Source organism: Homo sapiens, chromosome 22 (assembly GCF_000001405.40).
Source record: "Homo sapiens chromosome 22, GRCh38.p14 Primary Assembly".
In the NCBI taxonomy this organism is placed as follows: Eukaryota; Metazoa; Chordata; class Mammalia; order Primates; family Hominidae; genus Homo; species Homo sapiens.
In genome coordinates, this window is record NC_000022.11 from 50,308,993 (window position 1) to 50,328,998 (window position 20,006).

The 20,006-nt window shown below is 60.1% G+C and overlaps 1 protein-coding gene and 1 long non-coding RNA gene across 9 annotated transcripts, besides 8 other annotated features; one reads left to right on the top strand and one right to left on the bottom strand.

Moving 5' to 3' along the window:
* Positions 1-37: 37 nt before the first annotated feature.
* DENND6B (DENN domain containing 6B) lies at positions 38-18,020 on the bottom strand. Of its 7 annotated transcripts, none has more exons than XM_005261914.5 (21): positions 17,820-18,020; positions 9,973-10,011; positions 9,855-9,897; positions 8,916-9,028; positions 8,301-8,381; positions 7,574-7,720; positions 7,378-7,483; positions 7,182-7,261; positions 7,033-7,095; positions 6,722-6,777; positions 5,807-5,929; positions 5,613-5,708; positions 5,408-5,502; positions 5,215-5,280; positions 4,822-4,886; positions 4,643-4,732; positions 4,454-4,507; positions 4,007-4,116; positions 3,531-3,633; positions 3,351-3,425; positions 38-3,269 (listed from the first exon to the last, which is right to left on the bottom strand). In XM_005261914.5, the coding sequence occupies exons 1-21, from the start codon at positions 17,994-17,996 to the stop codon at positions 3,147-3,149; spliced, it is 1,905 nt and encodes a 634-aa protein (XP_005261971.1). In that variant the 5' UTR covers positions 17,997-18,020; the 3' UTR covers positions 38-3,146. The 7 variants fall into 7 exon arrangements, 6 of the variants coding, with proteins under 6 accessions (XP_005261971.1, XP_011528994.1, NP_001001794.3 ...); XM_011530692.4 differs by having other exon boundaries at positions 3,992-4,116; NM_001001794.4 differs by lacking the exon at positions 7,574-7,720.
* Positions 5,295-5,504: an enhancer, noted in NCBI's record as "active region_19314". NCBI's record gives its function as "activates an Ori minimal core promoter by ATAC-STARR-seq in GM12878 lymphoblastoid cells {active_cell/tissue: GM12878}" and the evidence as "EXISTENCE:reporter gene assay evidence [ECO:0000049][PMID:35858748]".
* Positions 5,635-5,854: an enhancer, noted in NCBI's record as "active region_19315". NCBI's record gives its function as "activates an Ori minimal core promoter by ATAC-STARR-seq in GM12878 lymphoblastoid cells {active_cell/tissue: GM12878}" and the evidence as "EXISTENCE:reporter gene assay evidence [ECO:0000049][PMID:35858748]".
* Positions 5,635-6,390: a biological region, named in NCBI's record as "H3K27ac-H3K4me1 hESC enhancer GRCh37_chr22:50753063-50753811".
* Positions 5,642-6,390: an enhancer, noted in NCBI's record as "H3K27ac-H3K4me1 hESC enhancer chr22:50753063-50753811 (GRCh37/hg19 assembly coordinates)". NCBI's record gives its function as "activates a minimal SCP1, AML or CMV promoter by ChIP-STARR-seq in naive and primed H9 embryonic stem cells {active_cell/tissue: H9 hESC(naive and primed)}" and the evidence as "EXISTENCE:reporter gene assay evidence [ECO:0000049][PMID:30033119]".
* Positions 8,327-13,070, top strand: LOC105373096 (uncharacterized). 2 transcript variants are annotated; one of them, XR_007068159.1, is made up of 6 exons: positions 8,327-9,134; positions 9,958-10,129; positions 10,220-10,391; positions 10,822-10,961; positions 11,467-11,591; positions 12,267-13,070. It is a non-coding gene; the product is annotated as an uncharacterized LOC105373096 (long non-coding RNA). The 2 variants fall into 2 exon arrangements; XR_007068160.1 differs by having other exon boundaries at positions 9,027-9,134; positions 10,301-10,391.
* Positions 8,393-8,893: an enhancer, noted in NCBI's record as "H3K4me1 hESC enhancer chr22:50755814-50756314 (GRCh37/hg19 assembly coordinates)". NCBI's record gives its function as "activates a minimal SCP1, AML or CMV promoter by ChIP-STARR-seq in naive and primed H9 embryonic stem cells {active_cell/tissue: H9 hESC(naive and primed)}" and the evidence as "EXISTENCE:reporter gene assay evidence [ECO:0000049][PMID:30033119]".
* Positions 8,894-9,394: an enhancer, noted in NCBI's record as "H3K4me1 hESC enhancer chr22:50756315-50756815 (GRCh37/hg19 assembly coordinates)". NCBI's record gives its function as "activates a minimal SCP1, AML or CMV promoter by ChIP-STARR-seq in primed H9 embryonic stem cells {active_cell/tissue: H9 hESC(primed)}" and the evidence as "EXISTENCE:reporter gene assay evidence [ECO:0000049][PMID:30033119]".
* Positions 11,968-12,468: an enhancer, noted in NCBI's record as "H3K4me1 hESC enhancer chr22:50759389-50759889 (GRCh37/hg19 assembly coordinates)". NCBI's record gives its function as "activates a minimal SCP1, AML or CMV promoter by ChIP-STARR-seq in naive H9 embryonic stem cells {active_cell/tissue: H9 hESC(naive)}" and the evidence as "EXISTENCE:reporter gene assay evidence [ECO:0000049][PMID:30033119]".
* Positions 17,769-18,408: a silencer, noted in NCBI's record as "silent region_13975". NCBI's record gives its function as "represses an Ori minimal core promoter by ATAC-STARR-seq in GM12878 lymphoblastoid cells {active_cell/tissue: GM12878}" and the evidence as "EXISTENCE:reporter gene assay evidence [ECO:0000049][PMID:35858748]".

Sequence of the window (20,006 nt, forward strand, 5' to 3'; positions counted from 1 at the left end):
GGTTGCCAACTTTTTATCAAAAAAGGAAAAGACAAGGTCCAGTCACAAAAGGACATTTTAATACCAAAACTGTGGGAAGGCCACTGTTCTAGACTAAAAGGGAGTCTTTAAATAGCCAGCAGGAAGCTTGAGGGTGAGCAGCTGTCCTTCCTGTCCCTGAGCAGGCCCCCTGTGTGCACCCTCAGCCCCGAGCCCCACTCCAGACCTGCTCCCAGCCCTTCCCACCCTCTAGGTTCTGTGGTCCCTGTCCTTCGGGAGGCCTGTGACCACAGCAGTCCTCACCCTCGCCAACTAAGTTCTGCCCAGCAAGCCCTCTTGCCTGCGGGGGCTGGCACTCTGGCCAGGGGTAGAGCTGTCTGGACCTTCCTGCCTCTTCACTGACTGCCCCTGGCCTGGAGTGCGTGGGGCGGGGAGGGCCATGGCCTAGCCCTGGACAGAGGCTCAGCCAACTCAGAGCGGCCCTGACACTGGGGGGGCCACAAGAGGCATCCGGACAGATGGAGCTGGCAGGTCTCCACGCCCAGCCCCCACCCATCCACCCCAGGCCACATTCCACCCCAGGCCTCTTCTGCACAGGTGGGGACAGGCCCTGAGGAAGAGGGGCTGGGACACTACCCCCCACCTTAGCCTTAGCTTCTGCCCAGGGCAATGCTGGCCACCCAGCCCGGTTCCCCCCTCAAGTTCCCCCTTCACACGCCACTATGTGGCCTCACCAGAGCCCTCCAGGGAAATCTGCTTGTGCATTTCTGGATACACAGTGGCCAGGGTCCCTGGGGGCTCCTCAGAGACCAGCCTGAAGCCCCTCCCCTGCAGCCATGTGGGTCTGCAGCCCTCTGTGCTGTGCGGCAGCCCTCAGAAAGCCAAGTGAGGCGAGACTGTGCTGTGGGGAAGCACATGCTGCCACGGTCCTTGGGGTGCGCTCCCCAAAGTGGGGTCACAGTTGTGAGAGAGGTGGGTTGTCTTCCCAAGCTGCCCCGACACCTTGAAGTGGTGGTCCTCAGGGGGCTGGTCACCAGCATAAGGCTTTTGCAGAGGGCCCTGGTGGAGGGCAGCTGATGGCAGGGCCTGTACTGGCCCCCCAGGCCCCATCTTATGGAGGTCAGCATTCAAGCTGCCCACACAAGAGGTGCCAGCATCTCTGCAGACCCTCTAGAGACCAAGCCCTCAGTGGGGAGGCTGGTCCCCCTGTGCTACAGTCAGGAGGCCCAAGCTGCATTTGGGGCCAGGACCTTTCTCACCCTCGGGTCCCCGGCTTGTCCCTGCCACAGAACAGGTTTGCCACCTCGGCCTCTATGTGTTCTGTTTCATGTGGTCACATCCTTGGACCCTGCACCAGACATCTGGGGCTTAACAGCTCCCCTTGGTCACCCTCCCGGCTGCCTCCGCGTCTTGTCTGTAGAATGGGAACAGGGACAGGCTGTCCTGGGCTGCAGTTGGGCTGGACAAGTTGACATGTACCAAGTTCTGAGAACTACCTGGCGCCCGGACACCTGACCCCGCTGTCCTTGTGGCTCAGTCACATCCTGCACTGAAGTGGCTGGCAGTGCTCGCTCTCCACCACCTGGCTGGAGGTCTGAGAGCACCAATGAGAACACAAACAGTACGTTGCGCTGAATGAAGGCTACATTCCTCGGACTGAATGGGGGCCTCAGAAGAAAAAGAAAAGTCCCGGCCGGGCGCGGTGGCTCATGCCTGTAATCCTAGCACGTTGGGAGGCCGAGGCGGGCGGATTACGAGGTCAGGAGATCGAGACCATCCTGGCTAACATGGTGAAACCCTGTCTCTACTACAAATACAAAAAATTAACCAAGCGCAGTGGTGGGTGCCTGTAGTCCCAGCTACTCGGGAGGCTGAGGCAGGAGAATGGCGTGAACCCGGGAGGCAGAGCTTGCAGTGAGCCGAGATCATGCCACTGCACTCCAGCCTGGGCAACAGAGCGAGACTCCATTTCAAAAAGAAAAAAAAAGAAAAAGTCCCTCCCCCAGCCCTGTGTCCCCTGGCCAGCACCCGCCCGGCCTCACAGGGTACAAAGCCCAGTCTCCATGAGTGGCCCTCCCAGCACCCTGTCGGGCATCTGCATGGCTGGCTCGCTCAGATGAGGAGTCTGAGGGTCTGAGTGGTCAGGGGACCTGCTCCCGGGCACACAGTGCGTGATGCTGAGCAGGGCTTGGCTGTCCGGAGCCCTGACAGTACCGTCACTGTGTGCTGTGCAGGGTCAACACCGTACCTCACCGGCCTCAGTGCCTGCAGGTGTCACGGGGGGAGCATACAACCCAGAGGTGGCTCTTAGGGACGTTCACCCCTTACCAAGGAAAGGGAGACATGCAGGCTCCAGCCAGAGGCAGGGTCAGGCCGAAGTCCAGAGCCCCTTGGGCTGCATGTGGGGGATGGACGGACACACTTGGACAACAGGAGCCCTGTCCACCTCCCAGAAGGGACGCACGGAGCTGGTGCCTGGTGGGGGCTCCAGGACTGGGAGCCAGGAAGGTGCTGTGGCTCTCCGAGAGCCAGGCTGAGCCAGCTCTCCTAGCAGAGGTGCTGGGCTGCACACAGCCCCCTGCCCAACCCCTACCTCCCAACAAACCACAGCCCCAAGCAGGTGGGTGTCCAGAGGAGCACCAGGGGTGGTGAGCAGAGCTCTTCACACTGCAAAGTGGTCTCTCCCTTTCTCAAGTTGATGACTATATGCAAAATAGCCTCCCATCCCCAGACAAGACGGGGGCTGTGTCAGGAGAGGGTCCCTCCTGTCCTGGGCAGCCTGTTGGGCTGAGGGAAGCATCACACACAGCGCAGGGGGGTCGGGGGCCAACAGATGGGCACCGGGAGGGGCAGACGGTAGACGCACCCACATCAGCAAGGGCTCCCAGCCTGTCCCCGCCCCCGTCCCAGCCTAAGGTCTGCAGAGGCCAGGTGGGACCCAGGAGGAGGCAAGGCTCTGCCTGCGAGGAACCCCTATGGTCAAGGCCATGCTGTGGTTCCAAATGTCGCCTTTACTGCTGAGACAATGGTGGTGCAGGAAGGGGAGCCTGCAGTCTGGGCGGGGGGCCAAGGAAGGGGAGCGTGTGCTTGGCCCAGTGCCGCCACCACTGGGGAGTGGGAGGCTCAGGCAGACCTAGGGCCCTGGGACCGTGGCCCTTGGCTTTGTTCTAGGGAGGGCACAAGACAGCCTGCAGGTCTTTGGGCAGGGAGCCGATGACCGTCTCGATGTACAGCTGTGCCCGCTGCAGCGTAGCCTCCTTCACAGGGAGCTGGTGGCCCTGAGCCCGCACCTGGAGGGGCAGCCATGGTCAGGGCAGGCGCAGCTCCGTGCCAGGCTGGTGGCGCTGGGACAAGGCTGGGAGGCATCTTACCAGCTTCTCACGAAGTTTCAGGACCAGGTCCACGACCTCCACCTCGGACTTGTCTTTCATCCAGGTCTCGATGTTCTGCAGGGCAAGACGGGGTCTACTGTCAGCAAGGCCCCTCACTGCCCTGGGCCTGTGCCCACCCCCACCATGTTCTGGCCCTCCCCAACCCCCAGCCTCTCTCACCGCCTCACAGATAGCCTCCAGGTGCAGGGCCTCCAGCTTCAGGGCCATCTCCTTGTGCCGCTGCCGGTACCAGCCATCAAAATGGGGGGACTTGAAAAACCGCCTGTGGGGATTAACAGGCGGGGGGCCATGGGGCTGACCCTGGGGATTGACAGGCGGGGGCCATGGGGCTGACCCTGGGGATTGACAGGCGGGGGGCCATGGGGCTGACCCTGGGGATTGACAGGCGGGGGGCCATGGGGCTGACCCTGGGGATTGACAGGCGGGGGGCCATGGGGCTGACCCTGGGGATTGACAGGCGGGGGGCCATGGGGCTGACCCTGGGGATTGACAGGCGGGGGGCCATGGGGCTGACCCTGGGGATTGACAGGCGGGGGGCCATGGGGATGACCCTGGGGATTGACAGGCGGGGGGCCATGGGGCTGACCCTGTGGACCAAGGAGGGCTCAAGCTGCCTGCACCTGCAGTCCACGCACCTGTAGAGACCCAGCCAGTCGCCCTTGAGGATGCAGGTGAGCTGGGGCCCAGCATGCTCCAGGCTACGCAGGAAGTCATCCTGGCTGAAGGGCTGGATCTGGGGGGGAGTCTGAGAGGGGATGGGTGAGCCAGCACGTGGGAACTCGGCCTCACAGGCCTGCACCCGGTACGCTTCCCAGACACACTCCTCACCACTTCTGAAGACCCCCAGCCCCCACCCTGCCTGGCACAGATCCCAGGACAGCCTTTCCCAGGGAGCAGGCCCTGAGCCCCTCCAAGGGTCCTGCCAGCCACCTGCCCTGTGGCCCCCAGTTTCACAAACATGATGGCCTTGAGGCCTGTGGCTCCTGCCCAGCCACAGCCTCCTGCTCCAGACCTTCCCTCCTCCGGGTGAGGAAGGGAACCCGCCCTCCATGGACCCCACAAAACCCCCACAGGACCCCCACCTTCCAGGGCGTGATGCTCTTCTGCAGGGGCATGAGGCTGGCCATGTAGTGCTCCTGGGTGGGGAAGGGAGGGGAGTGAGCCCGGGGACCCATGCCCCCCAGCCCCATCCCCCGCAGCCCCGTCCCCCCCAACCCCATCCCCCCAGCCCCGTGCCCCCCAGTCCCATGTCCCCCAGCCCCGGGCCTCACCAGGGGGATGATGAAGCTCTGGGTGAGCTCCAGGAGGTGCCGCCGCAGCAGGGCGCTCTGCACATCTGACGGCCGCTTCTTCTGCACGCCCTGCAGGGGAGAGAGGGCCAGGCCCTTGCTGCGCTTCACACCACACCAGGCTCCCTGCGTCCCCAGCCCCTGCCCCACAAACCATATACCTTGAGCAGCCGTTTGAGCAGCGCCTTGTCGCGGTGGAGGTGGGCCGTGTAAGCGGTGTAGAGGCCTGGCGGGAGGGCACAGCTGGCGCCCCACCCTTCAAGGGCCTCCCTCCCACACTCCTGCAGCCCCACAGAGGAGCCAGGGTGGGGGTCTCATCTGCCTGCAGCCCCATGCCCTTGGCTGCACCTGAAAATCTCACCCACCCACCCCCCAGACACCGAGACCCACTGAAGAGAAGAGAGCGACCCCTCCCCAAGGGTTCTGAGCTCTGCTGCTGAGTCCTGGAAGAGGATCAGGGGTCTGGGGGCCTGGCTGCCCCACCCGAGAGACCCGCCAGGTACAAGACAGGCCTCTCCACGGTGGAGGGGCTCCAGGTCGAGGGGAGCACAGACCTGGCTTGGTGTCCAGGGTCTTCAACCTTGAAGGCTTTTTCAGCTTGACTTGCTTAGGCAGGTCTCCTACGAGACACGCCCGGTGGCCAGGCCTCAGTGCCCGCAGCTCTGGCCATCCCCACGGGCTCTGAGGCGGCCCCACACTCAACGAGGCTTCTGAGCAGCACCCCCTGCACCTCACCGGGAGCCTGACCTGACATCTTGGGCTCCCCGACTCGGAGGATGTGGGGCCAGTGCTGGAGTGTTTTGATAAAGAAAGGGTTTGTGACTCCCAGGACCACGTTTGGTCTAGACAGACAGAGAGAGAGAAGAGGCAGAGACAGAGGTCCAGGGAGGTGCAGGAAGGGCGAGAGGCAGGGCGGAGCAAGGGCAAGAGGCGGGGCAGAGGCGGCACTTACGGGGCCTGCGTGCGTGTGGTGAACTCCTTGAACTCGCTGTCATGGATGGTGAAGTAGGGACGGAAGTCGCAGCAGAACCTGAGGGGCTGCAGGCAGCTGTGGGCAGAGGCAGCAGGGAGCAGGTGAGGCAGGGGCAGCCCAGGCACAGCCGCGATGGTCCAGCTTCCCCAGCCGGGACCGGGCCAAGGCGATACCTGGTCAAGGCCAGCACCATCTCCGAGGACACGTCGGGCGAGGGTGCCAGGACTAGCAGGGGCTCCCCGAGGAGCATGAGCTCCCACAGTGTCTGCATATGAGTCAGCACAGGCCGGAAGCACCTGGGGCCGGGCAGGAAGGTCGGGGAGGTCAGGCAGGGGCTGAGACTCCTGGCTCTGGCCCCGCTCTCCCACCGTTCACCCAGGCTGGCCCAGGCACTGGTGAACACAGCACGCTGCTCCAGGGTGAAGACAGATCTATCTGAAGATGTGTCTCGGGTAATCATGACGACCCCAAGCTGTGACAATCCACCTGTGCTGGGCCTGGCCCTGGGAATGGGGGACTCAACCTGGACCCACCTGTGAGGGACCAGCCATCCCGAAGTGGCCCCAAAGCCGGGGCAGGGTCTGCTGACCTGGGCTGGGGGGTACCCGCCCAGACCCCTCCCGTCACCCTGTGCCCATCCCAAGTGCAGCCCTGGCTCCTGCCGGGCCCAGCACAGAGCAGGATGGTCTCAAAGCCCAGGCTCCCTTGCAGACTTGTCCAGAGGCAGAGAAGGCGGCCTCAGGCAGTGAATCTCTCCTGACAGCCTCTCCTTGACACCTGTCTTTCAGAACCTCCTGCCCACTGTGCCTATTTCCACTGGCTGCAGACATGTGGGCACCTGCTTCCTCTTCTAGACAATTCTCCCTCCTTCCTTCCAGAACTGTCCCAAGGGGTACTCAGGATGAGCGCTGCCTCCCTTGGGCAGTCCCCACATGGCGCTGGCCATACACACACACACGTGCACACGTGCACTCACGCAGACACACACGCACACACATACTCACACACAGATGCACACATGCACGTACATGCACGTGCACACACAGTGAGCTCCTCAAAAGCAGTGTGCAGAACCCTAGGGGGCTCACCTGAACAGGTCCAGCTCGTGGACGCTAGCAAGAACCACTGGGGCTGGCAGCAGGTTCTGAGAGGAGGAGAGTGAAGGTCAGGGCCAAGGGGAGGCTGGCACCCCTTGGGCCCCAAGCAGCCCCTGCCTCACAGCACAGGGGAAGGTGGAGAGCACCCAGCCCTACACCAACACACAGCCTGTGGCTTTGCCTGGGTTTGACAACCCCGCAGGGTGAACCAAGGAAGCAGGTGTGGGACCACCCGGCCCAGGAGCAGGACTCAATCGGGTGAAGCCCAGCTGTTTCAGCTCCACCTCCGCCTCAGCTCCCACCTCTTGGTCAAACTGCTTCGGAGGACTGGACTCGGACTTGTCCACCCTGGATGGGATGCGCACCTGGGAGAAGGAGGGAGCAGCTGCCAGAGGGAGTAGGGCATCCCCACACACCTGCAGAGCCTACTCCCCAGCCAGCTGGCTCTCACCTGGACAACAACGCCCATGACAGGTAGGTTCAGGGTCTGCCCAGGTGCAGGCGCCGGCCACTGGTCGATCTCACTGCACACTGCGGATGCAGTAGCCCGCATCAGGACCCTCCCCAAGGAGAAGCTGCTGCCGAGCCCACCAGGGGCCACAGCTGGGATGATGAGACCACGATGGCCACGACTGATGGCCACTCACCTGCTTCCAGGCAGGGCGCCAGCTTGTCAAAGTACTCGGGGGCGATGAGGCTTAGCAGCGCTTGGAACAGCCGGACAAAGGGCAAGCGGGACACCAGCACCAAAGACTGCAGGGCCACGGGGCCAGTTAGAGGCCCAGTGCCAGGCCTCACCCTCGCCACTCAGGAGCCCACGGGGACCACCGAAGCCACGCTCACCTGGAGCTGGCCCAGGGTAGCACGTCCCACCAACTTCACAGGACAGCTGCCCCAGGAACGCCTGACTTGGACCCCAGAATTATTAGACAGGAGAAAACCCAACACTGAACTCCCTGGGTGGCGGCCGGTGGGGCTGGACCCTAGGGCCTTCGGAGGGAAACGCACGGTGGCCAGAATTTCTAGAACGACCTCCCCAGGGGCTGAGCAGCTTTTACTCTCTGCCTATGGCTTCCAGGCTGGGTTGCCCTGACACTGACAGTGTGATGACCCTCCAGCCATCAGTGAGGGGCAGCAGTGTCCTGGACCAGGACAGAAGGGCCTTGGGTCCCATGCCAGGCAAGGACAGGGCGGGGGGGGGGCGAGGACAGGGCGGGGGGGCGGCGAGGACAGGGTGGGGGGGCGGCGAGGACAGGGCGGGGGGCCCCGAGGACAGGGTGGGGGGGGGCGGCGAGGACGGGGGGGGGGCGGCGAGGACAGGGCGGGGGGCCGCGAGGACAGGGTGGGGGGGGGCGGCGAGGACAGGGTGGGGGGGTGGCGAGGACAGGGTGGGGGGCGGCGAGGACAGGGTGGGGGGGCGGCAAGGAGAGCTGGACACAGCCCAGGTGGGGCTGCAGGAGGGGTGGGCACTGCTGGAGGCTCAGGCCCCTTGCCCGCCCACAGCCCCTCCTGCTGCCTGCCAGCTCCTGCCGCTCTTGAGGTGCCAGCCCAGAGTGGCCAAGCAGCGCACCTTCTGGAAGTAGCCCCTCTTCACAGAGCTGTCCTTCACCTGCCTGAAGTACACGTAGCCGAAGTAGTGTGCCGGCTCCCTCTGCAAGGAGCATGGTGTTAGCCAGCCACGCCCCACCCGGACCACCTGGCCAGCCCCAGGGCTGGGAGTGGCAAGGAGCATGCAGGGACTGCTGCAGATGGAAGGCTGGAGAACCAGGAGGCTCCTGGAGCTGCTGTCCGTGCACTCTGGCCACCAAGGTGGAGGCCAGGAGGTCCTGGGCTCAGAAGGTGGGCAACACCCCTGCTGATACAGCAGGGAGTCCGCTGGTGTAGTGGAGAGGGGCTCGGGGGGCTGGGGGCCCTGGGAGGGCCCCTGTTCAACTATGCAGGTGCCCAGCCACAGATGTGTGGTGCCAAGGAAAAGTCCCAGGGACCCTGGGGAGACCCTGGAAGAGCTGGCCCATCCTCAGTTGGGGCTGGTGCCTGGGACTGCAGGGCCAGTGGGGCCTGGCCAGCTCCTCTCCTGCCACACAGGGCCCAGGCACTCTGAAGGGGCTTCTCCTACCAGCCTGACCCTGGCAGGACCCTTGGGGAGCAGGGGAGAAGCAGGCCAGAGACGCAGCCCAGTGCTCACCTGCAGTGCCACAGGGGCCCTGCTGTTGTAGTGCCTGTCGTCGGCATGCCAGGGGCTCCTCTGCCCTCCACACTGGCGCATGCGGAAGCTGAACTGAGTGTCTCCAAGGCAGCCTAAGAAGGGGCAGCCCCACCACACGGGTCAAGGCCGGGAGCCTCTTCTGCAGGCCCTGGAGCTGGTGACCGGGGAGCAAGGGCCCTGCGAGCCTGGCCTCTGCTGGTAAATATACCCCAGAAACCAGCCTGGCTAACACAGTGAAACCCCGTTTCTACTAAAAATACAAAAATTAGCCAGGCATGGTGGCACACACCTGCAATCCCAACTACTCAGGAGGCTGAGGCAGGAGAATCACTTGAACTTAGGGGGCGGAGGTTGCAGTGAGCTGAGATGGTGCCATTGCACTCCAGCCTGGGTGACGGAGTGAGACTCCGTTTAAATAAAAAAAGCCCCAGAAAGAATGCCCAGCCCAAGGGGTCTGTGTTTCCCAATGGGCTCCTATTCTGACTTCTGTACACCCTGCACCTACAAGTCTTAGAATATATTCGCATAGAAAAGCACCTTCAACTTCTCTGGGAGATTGGCTTGACCTGCTTGAGATAGAAAACCAGGCACCAGAAAATGGCCACCCAGATGTCTATACCCTGGGGCAGGAGCGGGAGGGAGGCCCAGCCCCTGGCGGCCACTGTGTGGGGTGTAGGAGACTGACTGTTGGTCCCTCTGCAAAGAGACACCCTTTCTACGTGAATCTGGGGACCGGCCTGACCTGCTGCAACGCGGGGCTCTGGGTGCCTCCACGGAGTGGGCATGGGGCTGGTGCTGCTCACCCCTGTGGCACTCTGGGCACCGGGGCAGCCGAGGCAGCCATGATGCCCCTGGCCCAGGCTACAGGGATGCCCAGCTGGCTTCATGTCCAGCCCCAGGAAAGGTGGGGTTGCCTACCTGAGTGCGAGTCGGGAAAAGACAGGTAGCAGATGCTGCTTTTCTGAAACATATAAAACCCCGGTGAGGGCCGACCCACTCCTGGGTCCTGTCCATTCCCAAGAGGGCCGGGACTCACCTCCTTGTCTGTGAGCCGGAAGTCGTTCGGATACACCAGCTGCAGAGGAAGACAGAGTGCTTGGTGACACCATCTGTCCGAGGAGGCGACACCCCTCGACAGCATCTGCTGGACTGTGACCGTCCCAGCAGCTGCAGCATCTGTCTGTGGGGCGCAGGTCAGTGCCCAAGGTGCTGGCTCGCCCCCTGCTCCCTGTTCCAACAGCACGCTGCATCCTCCCCACACCATATTCTCTGTGTTCCAACAGCATGCTGCATCCTCCCCACACCACCTTCTCTGGCTGTGATGTCTGGCTCCTTGCTGACCCGCTCCTATCTCTGACCTCCAGGCACCAGGCCCCGGGCAACTCCCCTGCCGGCCAGAGGCTTCTCTACTCCCACCTCCCCAGGCCCCTCTCAGTAAGAGGCCAGCACAATTGGGTGAGCTTCCTGACCCCTTTCTCACACCCCTGGTCCTCACAGCCACCCAACCACCTCTTGCCCAGACTGCAGTTGGGCCCCCCTGCCCCTACCCACCCGGACATCTGTTCACAGCATCAGAAGGGTAGTGCTTCAGGGACCCAGAGGCCCCCTCACCCGGGATGGTCACGGGGCTCCACCTGGCCGGCCCTCCATCTCCCTCACCACCCGCCAAGCCAGAGGGCCCCTCACCTGGGATGGTCACGGGGCCCCGCCTGGCTGGTCCTCCAGCTCCCTCACCACCCGCCAAGCCAGAGGGCCCCGGTCGTGCTGCTCCCCCAGCCTTTGCTCAGATGCAGGCCCAGAAGCACCCCTGCCCCATGATGGCAGCTTGCTGTCAGGCCCTCTCCCCGTCCTGCTCAGCAGTCTTCACCCACCCTCCCCCTGCCAGGGCCTGTGCCCCACCTGTAGCGCCCAGCCGGACAAGGCCTGCACCCCCAGGAGTGGACAGTGGAGGAGAGCATGATGCTAAGCAGGCGCTGAATGACTTGGAAGACAGGTGTGCGCTGACAGAGGCGGCAGGTGGGGCAGGTGAGCCTGGGAGCCCAGCCCAGTAGGTCCACGCACACATGGACCACTTTCCCTCTAGGGAGCTCCCAGAGCCCCCATTCCCAGTGGGCCCTGCAATGTCTCCTGGGCTGCCTGAAGCCTGCCAGGAGGGCCTCTGCACACTGTCCCCTCCTCATCCCATCTGCCCAGCTTCTCCACTGAGTTGGGTTTAGGCTATAACAAGGCTTCTTCCAAGGTGTGCCCTGAGCCCCCAGACAGTGAGGAGCCGGGCCCTGGATGAAAGCATCTGCCATTTTGTTTCTGAGAGACAGGGTCTCGTTCCCTCACCCAGGCTGGAGCGCAATGGCACAATCACAGCTCACTGCAGCCTCGAACTTCTAGGCTCAAGCGATCCTCCCGCCTGAGCCTCCTGAAGTGCTGGGAGTGCAGGCGTGAGCCACGCCCAGCTTGCTCTGTGAAAATAGCCCTGCTCTTCTGTTTGCTCTGGGCTTGCTACCATGGTCCTGCTTTGCCTCTTCCAATGCAGAGTAAGTCTCTCTAAGGACCCTGTCCTGGTTACTTCTGCCTCCCAGCACCTGGCACAGAACAGACCCTCCCCAAATACAGTGTTCGTGGAATGTGTGAAGAGGTCTCTGAGGTTTACTAGAACAGGTGGGTGGAGGGGAGCTAAACAGGCACCAAGGAGTGGTCAGGAGGAGGACGAGGGTGGAAGCTGGGAGTAGGCTGGACCCACAGGGGTGCCTCAGGATAGCTCCATGAGGGGCTGGAGATATAGGGCCACTCAGCCTGAGCCTTCATGTGTCTGCACTGAGGAGAACTGAGAAAAGGCGGGTACCTTCTGCCTGGGGTCAGGACTCTGCACCTGGTCTGCCAGTCACAGGAGCCTGTGGCCTCTGAGCTCCGTGCCCATGCCCAGGGGGCCCTCAGCATGTCTGACCAGGGAAAGCCACATTCTCAGGCTCATCCTTTTTGAGAGTGTCCCTGGGGCCCAGGTACAGCCTGAAGTTGAGTACAAAGCCAGGGGTCAGGCCACCCAGGGTTGGCCACGCCAAGGTTAAGGGGACAAATGGAGCTGATCTTCAGGGCAAGGAGGCCTCCCAGGTCAGGCTGTGCCCTGCTCGGGGTTCCATGAGGGTCTTGCCTGAGCCCTGCACAGGTCCCTGCTCCTGGTCACCAGTCACCCGGAGGAAGACTGGGGGTGGGAGCTTGGTTTGGAGAAGGCACATGCAGGGAGCGGTTCCCAAGGTATGGCCGGGCCACCCTGGGATCCCGGGGGTCACAGCCCTTCTCCTGTGTGAGAGCCTCCTCTCTCATCTTCACCCTCAGGTACAGCATGGCTCCCAGAAGCCGCGGTGTGTCCTGTCCTAGAGGGCTGAATGCAGTGCTGATGAGAATCCAGCTGTTTTCCATTTGGTCGGACTTTTTATTTTTTATTTATTTATTTTTTGAGACGGGGTCTTGCTCTGTCACCAGGCTGGAGTGCACTGACGTGATCTCAGCTCACTGCAAACGCCATCTCCTGGGTTCAAGCGATTCTCCTGCCTCAGCCTCCTGAGTAGCTGGGACTAAGGGTGCACGCCACCACGCCCGGCTAACATTTTTCTATTTTTTAGTAGAGACAGGGCTTCACCATATTGGCCAGGCTGGTCTCGAACTTCTAACCTCGTGATCCACCCGCCTTGGCCTCCCAAAGTGCTAGGATTACAGGTGTGAGCCACGGCGCCCAGCCCTTCTAACTCTCAAAAATGTTTTTTAAGACAAGGTCTCACTGTCACCCAGGCTGGAGTGCAGTGGTGCGAACACAGCTCATTGCAGCCTCGACCTCCTGGGCTCAAGCAAACCTTCCACCTCAGCCTCCTGAGTAGCTGGGACTACAGGCGTGCGCCCCCACACATGGCCAATTTTTACACTGTTGTGCTACAGGCGTGCGCCCCCACACATGGCTGATTTTTACACTGCTGTGTAGAGATTGGGTCTTGCTATGCTGCCCAAGCTGGTCTCAAACTCCTGGACTCAGCCTTCCAAGCAGCTAGAACTACAAGCCTGTGCTACCACGCCCAGCTAATTTCCTTGGTTTTAACTCCTGGTAAACATTGATAGATATAACCAATATTAAAAAAAAAAAACTCTTTGGGGTCCTCAATAATTTTTTTTTTTTTTGAGATGGAGTCTAACTCTGTTGCCCAGGCTGGAGTACAGTGGCGCGATCTCAGCTCACTGCAAGCTCCGCCTCCCGGGTTCACGACATTCTCCTGCCTCAGCCTCCTGAGTAGCTGGGACTACAGGCGCCCGCCACCATGCCCAGCTAATTTTTTGTATTTTTAGTAGAGATGGGGTTTCACCGTGTTAGCCAGGATGGTCTTGATCTCCTGACCTTGTGATCCACCTGCCTCGGCCTGCCAAAGTGCTGGGATTACAGGCGTGAGCCACCGTGCCCGGCCAATAATTTTTAAAACTACAAAAGTGTCCTAAGACTGCAGAGTATGGGCACTGCTGCCTGGGAGGGCATGGCTGCCAGAGTGAAAGTGGTATTCTAACTGACCAGAGTTCACTCCAGAGACCTCTGAGGGAGCTGGGATGTTGAGAGGTAAATTTTCCATTAGAAAAAAAATTTTTGTCTTTTTTTGTTTGTTCTGAGACAGAGTCTCACTCTGTCACCCAGCCTGGAGTGCAGTGGCGTGATCTCCGCTCACTGCAACCTTTGCCTCCCAGGTTCAAGCGATTCTCTTGCCTCAGCCTCCAGATAGCTGGGATTACAGGCGTGCCACAATGCCTGGCTAATTTTTTGTATTTTTAGTAGAGATGGGGTTTCACCATGTTGGCTAGGCTGGTGGTCTCAAACTCCTGACCTCAGGTGATCTGCCTGCCTTGGCTTCCCAAAATGTTGGGATACAGGCATGAGCCACCGTGCCCAGCCTTATTTTTTTTTTTTTCTTGAGACAGAGTCTTGCCCTGTTGCTCAGGCTGGAGTGCAGTGGCACAATCTTGGCTCACTGCCAACTCCGCCTCCTGGGTTCACACCATTCTCCTGACTCAGCCTCCCAAGTAGCTGGGACTACAGGTGCCCACCGCCATGCCCGGCTAATGCTTTTTTTTTTTTTTTTTTTTTTTTTTTTAGTAGAGACGGGGTTTCACTGTGTTAGCCAGAATGGTCTTGATCTCCTGACCTCGTGATCAGCCCGCCTCAGCCTCCTAAAGTGCTGGGATTACAGGTGTGAGCCACCACGCCCGGCTTGTTTTTTGTTTTTTAACAGACAGGGTCAACCTCCAACTCCTGGACTCAAGCAGTTCTCCCACCTCAGCCTCCCAAGTAGCTGAGACTACAGGTTTGTGCCACCATGCCTGGCTCTTTTTTTTTTTTTTTTTCCTTTTTGAGAGCTGCACTCCAGCTCTGTCACCCAGGCTGGAGTGCAGTGGCACGATCTCAGCTCACTGCAACCTCCACCTCCCGGGTTCAAGCAATTCTCCTAACTCAGCCTCCAGAGTAGCTGGGATTACAGGCATACAATGCCCAGCTAATTTTTTGTATTTTTAGTAGAGACAGGGTTTCACCATGTTGCCCAGGCTGGTCTCAAACTTCTGAGCTCATGCAATCCGCCTGCCTCAGCCTCCCAAAGTGCTAAGATTATAGGCATGAAACACTGTGCCCGGCCTCATTTTGTATTTTTTGTAGAGATGTGGGTTTTGCTATATTGACCAAGCTGGTCTAGAACTCCTGGGCTCAAGTGCTCCTCCCACTGTGGGCTTCCAAAGTGCTAGGATTACAGGCATCAGCCAGCACGCCTAGCCTTTTTTTTTTTTTTTTTTTTTTAATTTTGTTTTGAGACAGGTTCTTGCTGTAACCTAGGCTGGAGTGCAGTGGTGATCATGGCTCACTACAGCCTCGAATTCCTGGGCTCAAGCAATCCTCCAGCCTCAGCCTCCTGAGTAGCTATAACTACAGGTGCATGCCACCACACCTGGCTAATTTATTTTTAATTTTGGTAGAGACAGGGTCTCACTATGTTTCCTAGGCTAGTCTGGAACACCTGGCCTCAAGTGATCCTCCTGCCTCGGCCTCCTAAAGGGCTGGATTATAGGCAGGACCACTGCGCCCAGCCCAAGAGGTGAGTTTTCAAGAGCTGAGAAGGCGGAGCCAGGCCCTTTCCTAAGCTGACCTGTACACTCCAGTCACCCCACAGTCCTGCCCAGCCCCTCACAAGCCAGATCCCTTGTCACCCCACAGCCCTGCTGGCCCCTCTCAAGCTGGACCCCTCATCTCTCAAGCAGGCTGCACTGCACTCATTTCCATGATGCTCCCATGCGTACAGTTGCGGGGGTATCCTGTGAGGGCTAAGGGGGAGTCCTGTGAGCACTATGGACTCTGAACCACTTACTCTCCATATCACTGGCACATAGTGTGAACTCCTAAAGGGCAAGAGCCTTGTCTACTCACTTACATGCTGGGCACCAGTATTGTGGGGCTGGGCTGGTGATAGCTGCTCAATGTGATCTACGGTTTTGTTTTTTGAGACAGAGTTTCACTCTTGTTGCCCAGGCTGGAGTGCCATGGCGCGATCTCGGCTCACCACAACCTCCGCCTCCTGGGTTCAAGCGATTTGCCTGCCTCAGCTTCCTGAGTAGCTGGGATTACAGGCGTGCGCCACCACGCCCGGCTAATTTTGTATTTTTAGTAGAGACAGGGTTTCTCTGTGTTGGTCAGGCTGGTCTCAAACTCCTGAACTCAGGTGATCTGTCCGCCTCGGCCTCCCAAAGTGCTAGGATTACAGGCGTGAGCCACCATGCCCAGCCTTCAAAGTGATTTACTGAATGAGTAACTGAATCACCAGCTCCTTGCCTTTTGCTTATGTTGGCATTTTGGGAGAGGGGTTACCTGAAACAGGACCCCCTCCCCTGTCTCTTCTCAGCATCCAAGACTTATTTACCTAAGCCCATTCCTTCCTCTGAGCTGCATGCATCCCAACTAGAGTCTTCCTTCCATATCGCAGAACCAAGCACAGTCCTGGGGCTTTGCAGTGCTTAGCTGGGCTGAGCTGTGACTGAGTTGCACAGTGGGTGCTCCCTAAGTCTGTAAGTGACTAAAACGACCTCGATCTTCCCTGTGACTTCCAGGTGAGGGAGGAAAGGCAAGAGTCATGTGCTCAGGCCCCGGTGGATCCACTGCCAGGTTTCTGCACAGACTCAGTGATCTGCAGGTGCCCAGATCATTGCTATGGAGGGTTTCGCTCATGGACCTGGGTCCCCAACACTCTGCCAGCTGACCATGCCCCTAGTCCGAGCTGAGCATCCCCAGCAAAAGCTCAGGAGTCCAAGCACACACAGCCTTCAACAGCTCAGAAATAACTTTCCGAATGGGTTTTAGAAAATAACACGAGAATGTCTTAAGGAACAGAGGAACCTCCTTTTTTTTTTTTTTTTTTTTTGAGATGGAGTCTCACTTTGTCGCCCAAGCTGGAGCGCAATGGTGCAATCTCTGCTCACTGCAACCTCCCCCTCCCGGGTTCAAGCCATTCTCCTCCTCAGTCTCCCGAGTAGCTAGGACTACAGGAGTGTGCCACCTCGCCCGGCTAATTTCTGTATTTTTAGTGGAGATGTGGTTTCACCATGTTGGCCAGGATGGTCTCAAACTGCTGACCTTGTGATCTGCCTGCCTCGGCCTCTCAAAGTGCTGGGATTACAGGCATGAGTCACCGCGTCCGGCCAGGAACCTCTTAACTTCTTTTGTGATTTTGTGGGGAACAATCTGGGCAACAGTATTGAACTAAGAAAGGTTTTCAACCCTGGGCAGGTCACCACACTTCTTGGTACTCAGCCCCCACCCAGTGATGCTGTTTGAGGCTGTGCACCTGCTGGGGACCGTGTGTGGTGGGAGGGGCTCCAGAGAGTGCTAGAGTTAATGCTTTTCTGTTTAGAAGACTATATGCTTCTCATGGCCTCTTGGAGTTCAGCAGGGCCTTAGAAAGCATCTCCCAACCACAGAGACGCGCTGCCTGGCTTTCCTGATGATGATGATTTGGCCTGATCTTGGACACCTGCGGTAATAGAGAGCTCACTACCCCTCACGAGGTTCCTTGCGCCAGCGCGGGGAAGCCTCCCTCCATCTGCAGGTGGGCCTCCCCTGTGCTGGTCAGCTCCCTGGTGTGTGTTACACAGGACACAGAGAAGATCATCCTGCGGGGCCTCCCTGGAGGAAAGGAGGCTGCCTGTGTGGGTAGGTGAGTGGAGGCCTGCAGGCAGCAGAAAGACCACATCGAAAGCCCATGGGCACAGCCGATGAACAGACCCCCACGAGCAAGAACACCACAAGACGCAGGTGGAGGGACGGGGCCCATGGGGTCTGGATCTGATGCTAGGTGAACAAGGAGGCGCTGCAGGGTTTTAAGCAGGAGAGCCACAAAGGTTGAACTCTGGGGTGCAGCTGGGGTGGGGATGACATCAGTGATGGCAGCAAAGGAACGGATCCGAGACCTTTGTTGCAGAAGGAGCCGTCAGCCTCGCCTATGCCCAGAGATGGGATGCGGAGCGGAGGGTAAGCCCGGGACTCTGGCGGGAGCCACTGAGGGGATGAAGGTGTCACTGCTCCGGTGGGGAATGGAGGGGGGAGATGTGAGACATTTACTGGGAAAAATCGAAAGAGTACCACTTAGGTTATGCAAAATGCTCCATCCCAATGTGAAGACAAGATCCGACTCCGAGCAGCTCGCCTTCCCTCCTCGGCCTGGGGAGCGCTTCTGGAGCCCGGAGAAGAGGCCCCTCCAGGAGGCGGCGGCCGAAGGCCAGGGAGAGTGCGGGGCGGCCGAGGGCCCCAAGCGAGGCGGGACTGGCCCCGAGAGGCGCAGCCCTGCCCACCCGCCCGCGCCCGCGCTCGCGCCCGCTCACCTCCAGCGCCTGGCCCAGCTCCAGGTCGAAGGTGACCACGCACACACACTCCAGCCAGGCGGAGAAGCGCGCCCAGGGCGCCGCCGGGGTCCGCGCCGCGCGACCTGAAGACGTGGGTCCAGCCGCGCCCAGGCAGCCGCGAGCCCGGCGAGGCCCTGTGCCCAACAGCGCGTCCATGGCGGCGGCCGCGGGTTGCCGGGGAAACGCGGGCGGGGGCGGCGCGCGTCCGGGCCGCTCCTCAGAACAGTCGAGCGGCCGCCGCGGCCCAGTGCGGCTCCCGCGCGGCCGCGCGCCCCCTAGCGCCCGAGAAGCGCCAGCGGCCGGGCGCCGCCCAGGGCACCAGCGAGCCGGACGCGCGCGGGCCAGAGCGGCCGGAGCCCACTGGGGGACTTCCGGGGAAGCGGCCGAACTGGGGCCTTCCAGGGTCCACGCCGTCTGAGGCCCGAGAGAGTCGGTTCGGCCCCGGTGTTCGCGGATCCCGGCTCGCGGGAGCCTCGGGGCCAGGCCAGGGAGGCAGAGCAAGCTGCAGCCAGCCGGCGCCGGGCTCGTCGGGCTTCGCAGGTCCGGCCAGCCTACCTCGCCCCACCGCGCAGGGGCCAGCGGCGTCGCGGGCGTTTTCGTGGCGGAATGGCGTCCTCACTGAGCGCCCAGCCACCACCGCGGACTCGCGCTCGCTTCCTCTGGGGCCCGCGCGGCCTGGGGTCGTGTCTGACCGCGGGTGTCCACGCAACACCTCTGCAGTTTCACTTTCCGGGGGAATCGCGGGGACCTGGAGCGAACTCTTCCCTCCCTCGCGAGGGCCCCGGGCCCCGCTGTGGTCCACAGAGCACCTTGAGGCCCGGCGTGGAAGGGCGAGTTTGGGGCTGTCGGTAACTTAATGAGGCACGCCTTTGAGTCGTGGGCCTCATGACGTTTCCGTGGAAGGCGGGCCGCATATACTGTGGTGGTCCCTTCAGATTACCACGTGTTGGCCAGACGCGGTGGCTCACGCCTGTAATCTCACCGCTTTGGGAGGCCGAGGTGGGGTGGCGGATCACGAATCCAGGAAATCGAGACCAACCTGGTGAAACCCTGTCTCTACTGAAAATACAAAAATTAGCCGGGCGTGGTGGCTGGCGAGCGCCGTAACCCCAGCTATTGGGGAGGCTGAGGCAGGAGAATCGTTTGAACCCCGGAGGCGAAGCTTGCAGTGAGCTGAGATGTCGCCATTGCACTCCAGCCTGGGCGACAGAGTGAGACTCCATCTCAAAAATAAAAAAATAAAAGATTACCACGTGTTGTTCGGATCATCTGGCCTAGGTGTGGGGTAGGCTGTCCCATCTAGGTTTGTCACATAACAAAATCGCCTAATGACACATTTCTCAGGACATAGCTTCACCGTTGAGTAGCACATGGCCGTATTGTTTTTTGTTTGTTTGTTTCTGTTGTTTTTTTTGAGACAGAATGTTGCTCTTGTTGCCCAGGCAGGAGTGCAATGGCATGGTCTTGGCTCACTGCAACCTCTGCCTACTGGGTTCGAGCGATTCTCCTGCCTCAGCCTCCCGAGTAGCTGGAATTACAGGCGTGCACCACCACGCCAGGCTAATTTCTGTATTTTTGGTAGAAACGGTTTCACCATTTTGGCCAGGCTGGTCTCGAACTCCTGAGCTCAGGTGATCTGCCCGCCTCGGCCTCCCAAAGTGTTGAGATTACAGGCGTGAGCCACTATGCCAGGCCCGACTGTATAGCTTTTATTTTTATTTTTAGAGGAAAGGTCTCACTCTCTCCCAGGATGGAGTGCAGTGGCCCATTGCAGCTCACTGCAGCCTCGATCTCCTGGCTCAAGCTATCCTGCCACTCAGTCTCCTAGGTAGCTGAGGCTACAGGCACACGCCGCCATACCCCATTATTTTTTTATTTTTATTTTTTGTTCGTTTTTGTGGAGATGGGGTCTCGTGCTGCCTGGGCTCATTTTCATTTCTCTTGGGCGTGCATAGAAACCAAATTGCTGAGGCATAACCTGGGTATATGTTTAGCTTTCCCCAAAGCAGCCATACATTTAAAAACATTCCTACCAGGCCAGGCGAGGTGGCTCATGCCTGTAATCCCAGCACTTTGGGAGGCTGAGGCTAGTGGATCACCTGAGGTCAGGAGTTTGAGACCAACCTGGCCGACATGGTGAAAACCTGTCTCTACTAAAAAATACAA

What these genes read in the sequence shown, in the direction of transcription:
- DENND6B (XM_011530692.4), bottom strand. Translation starts at nt 17,996, where the DNA reads ATGGACGCGCTGTTGGGCACAGGGCCTCGCCGGGCTCGCGGCTGCCTG. An exon ending in TCATGGGCGTTGTTGTCCAG is followed by an intron (nt 7,096 to 7,181) that starts GTGAGAGCCAGC and finishes TCCTTCTCCCAG; the next exon opens with GTGCGCATCCCATCCAGGGT. An exon ending in ACCACACGCACGCAGGCCCC is followed by an intron (nt 5,503 to 5,612) that starts GTAAGTGCCGCC and finishes CTGTCTGTCTAG; the next exon opens with ACCAAACGTGGTCCTGGGAG.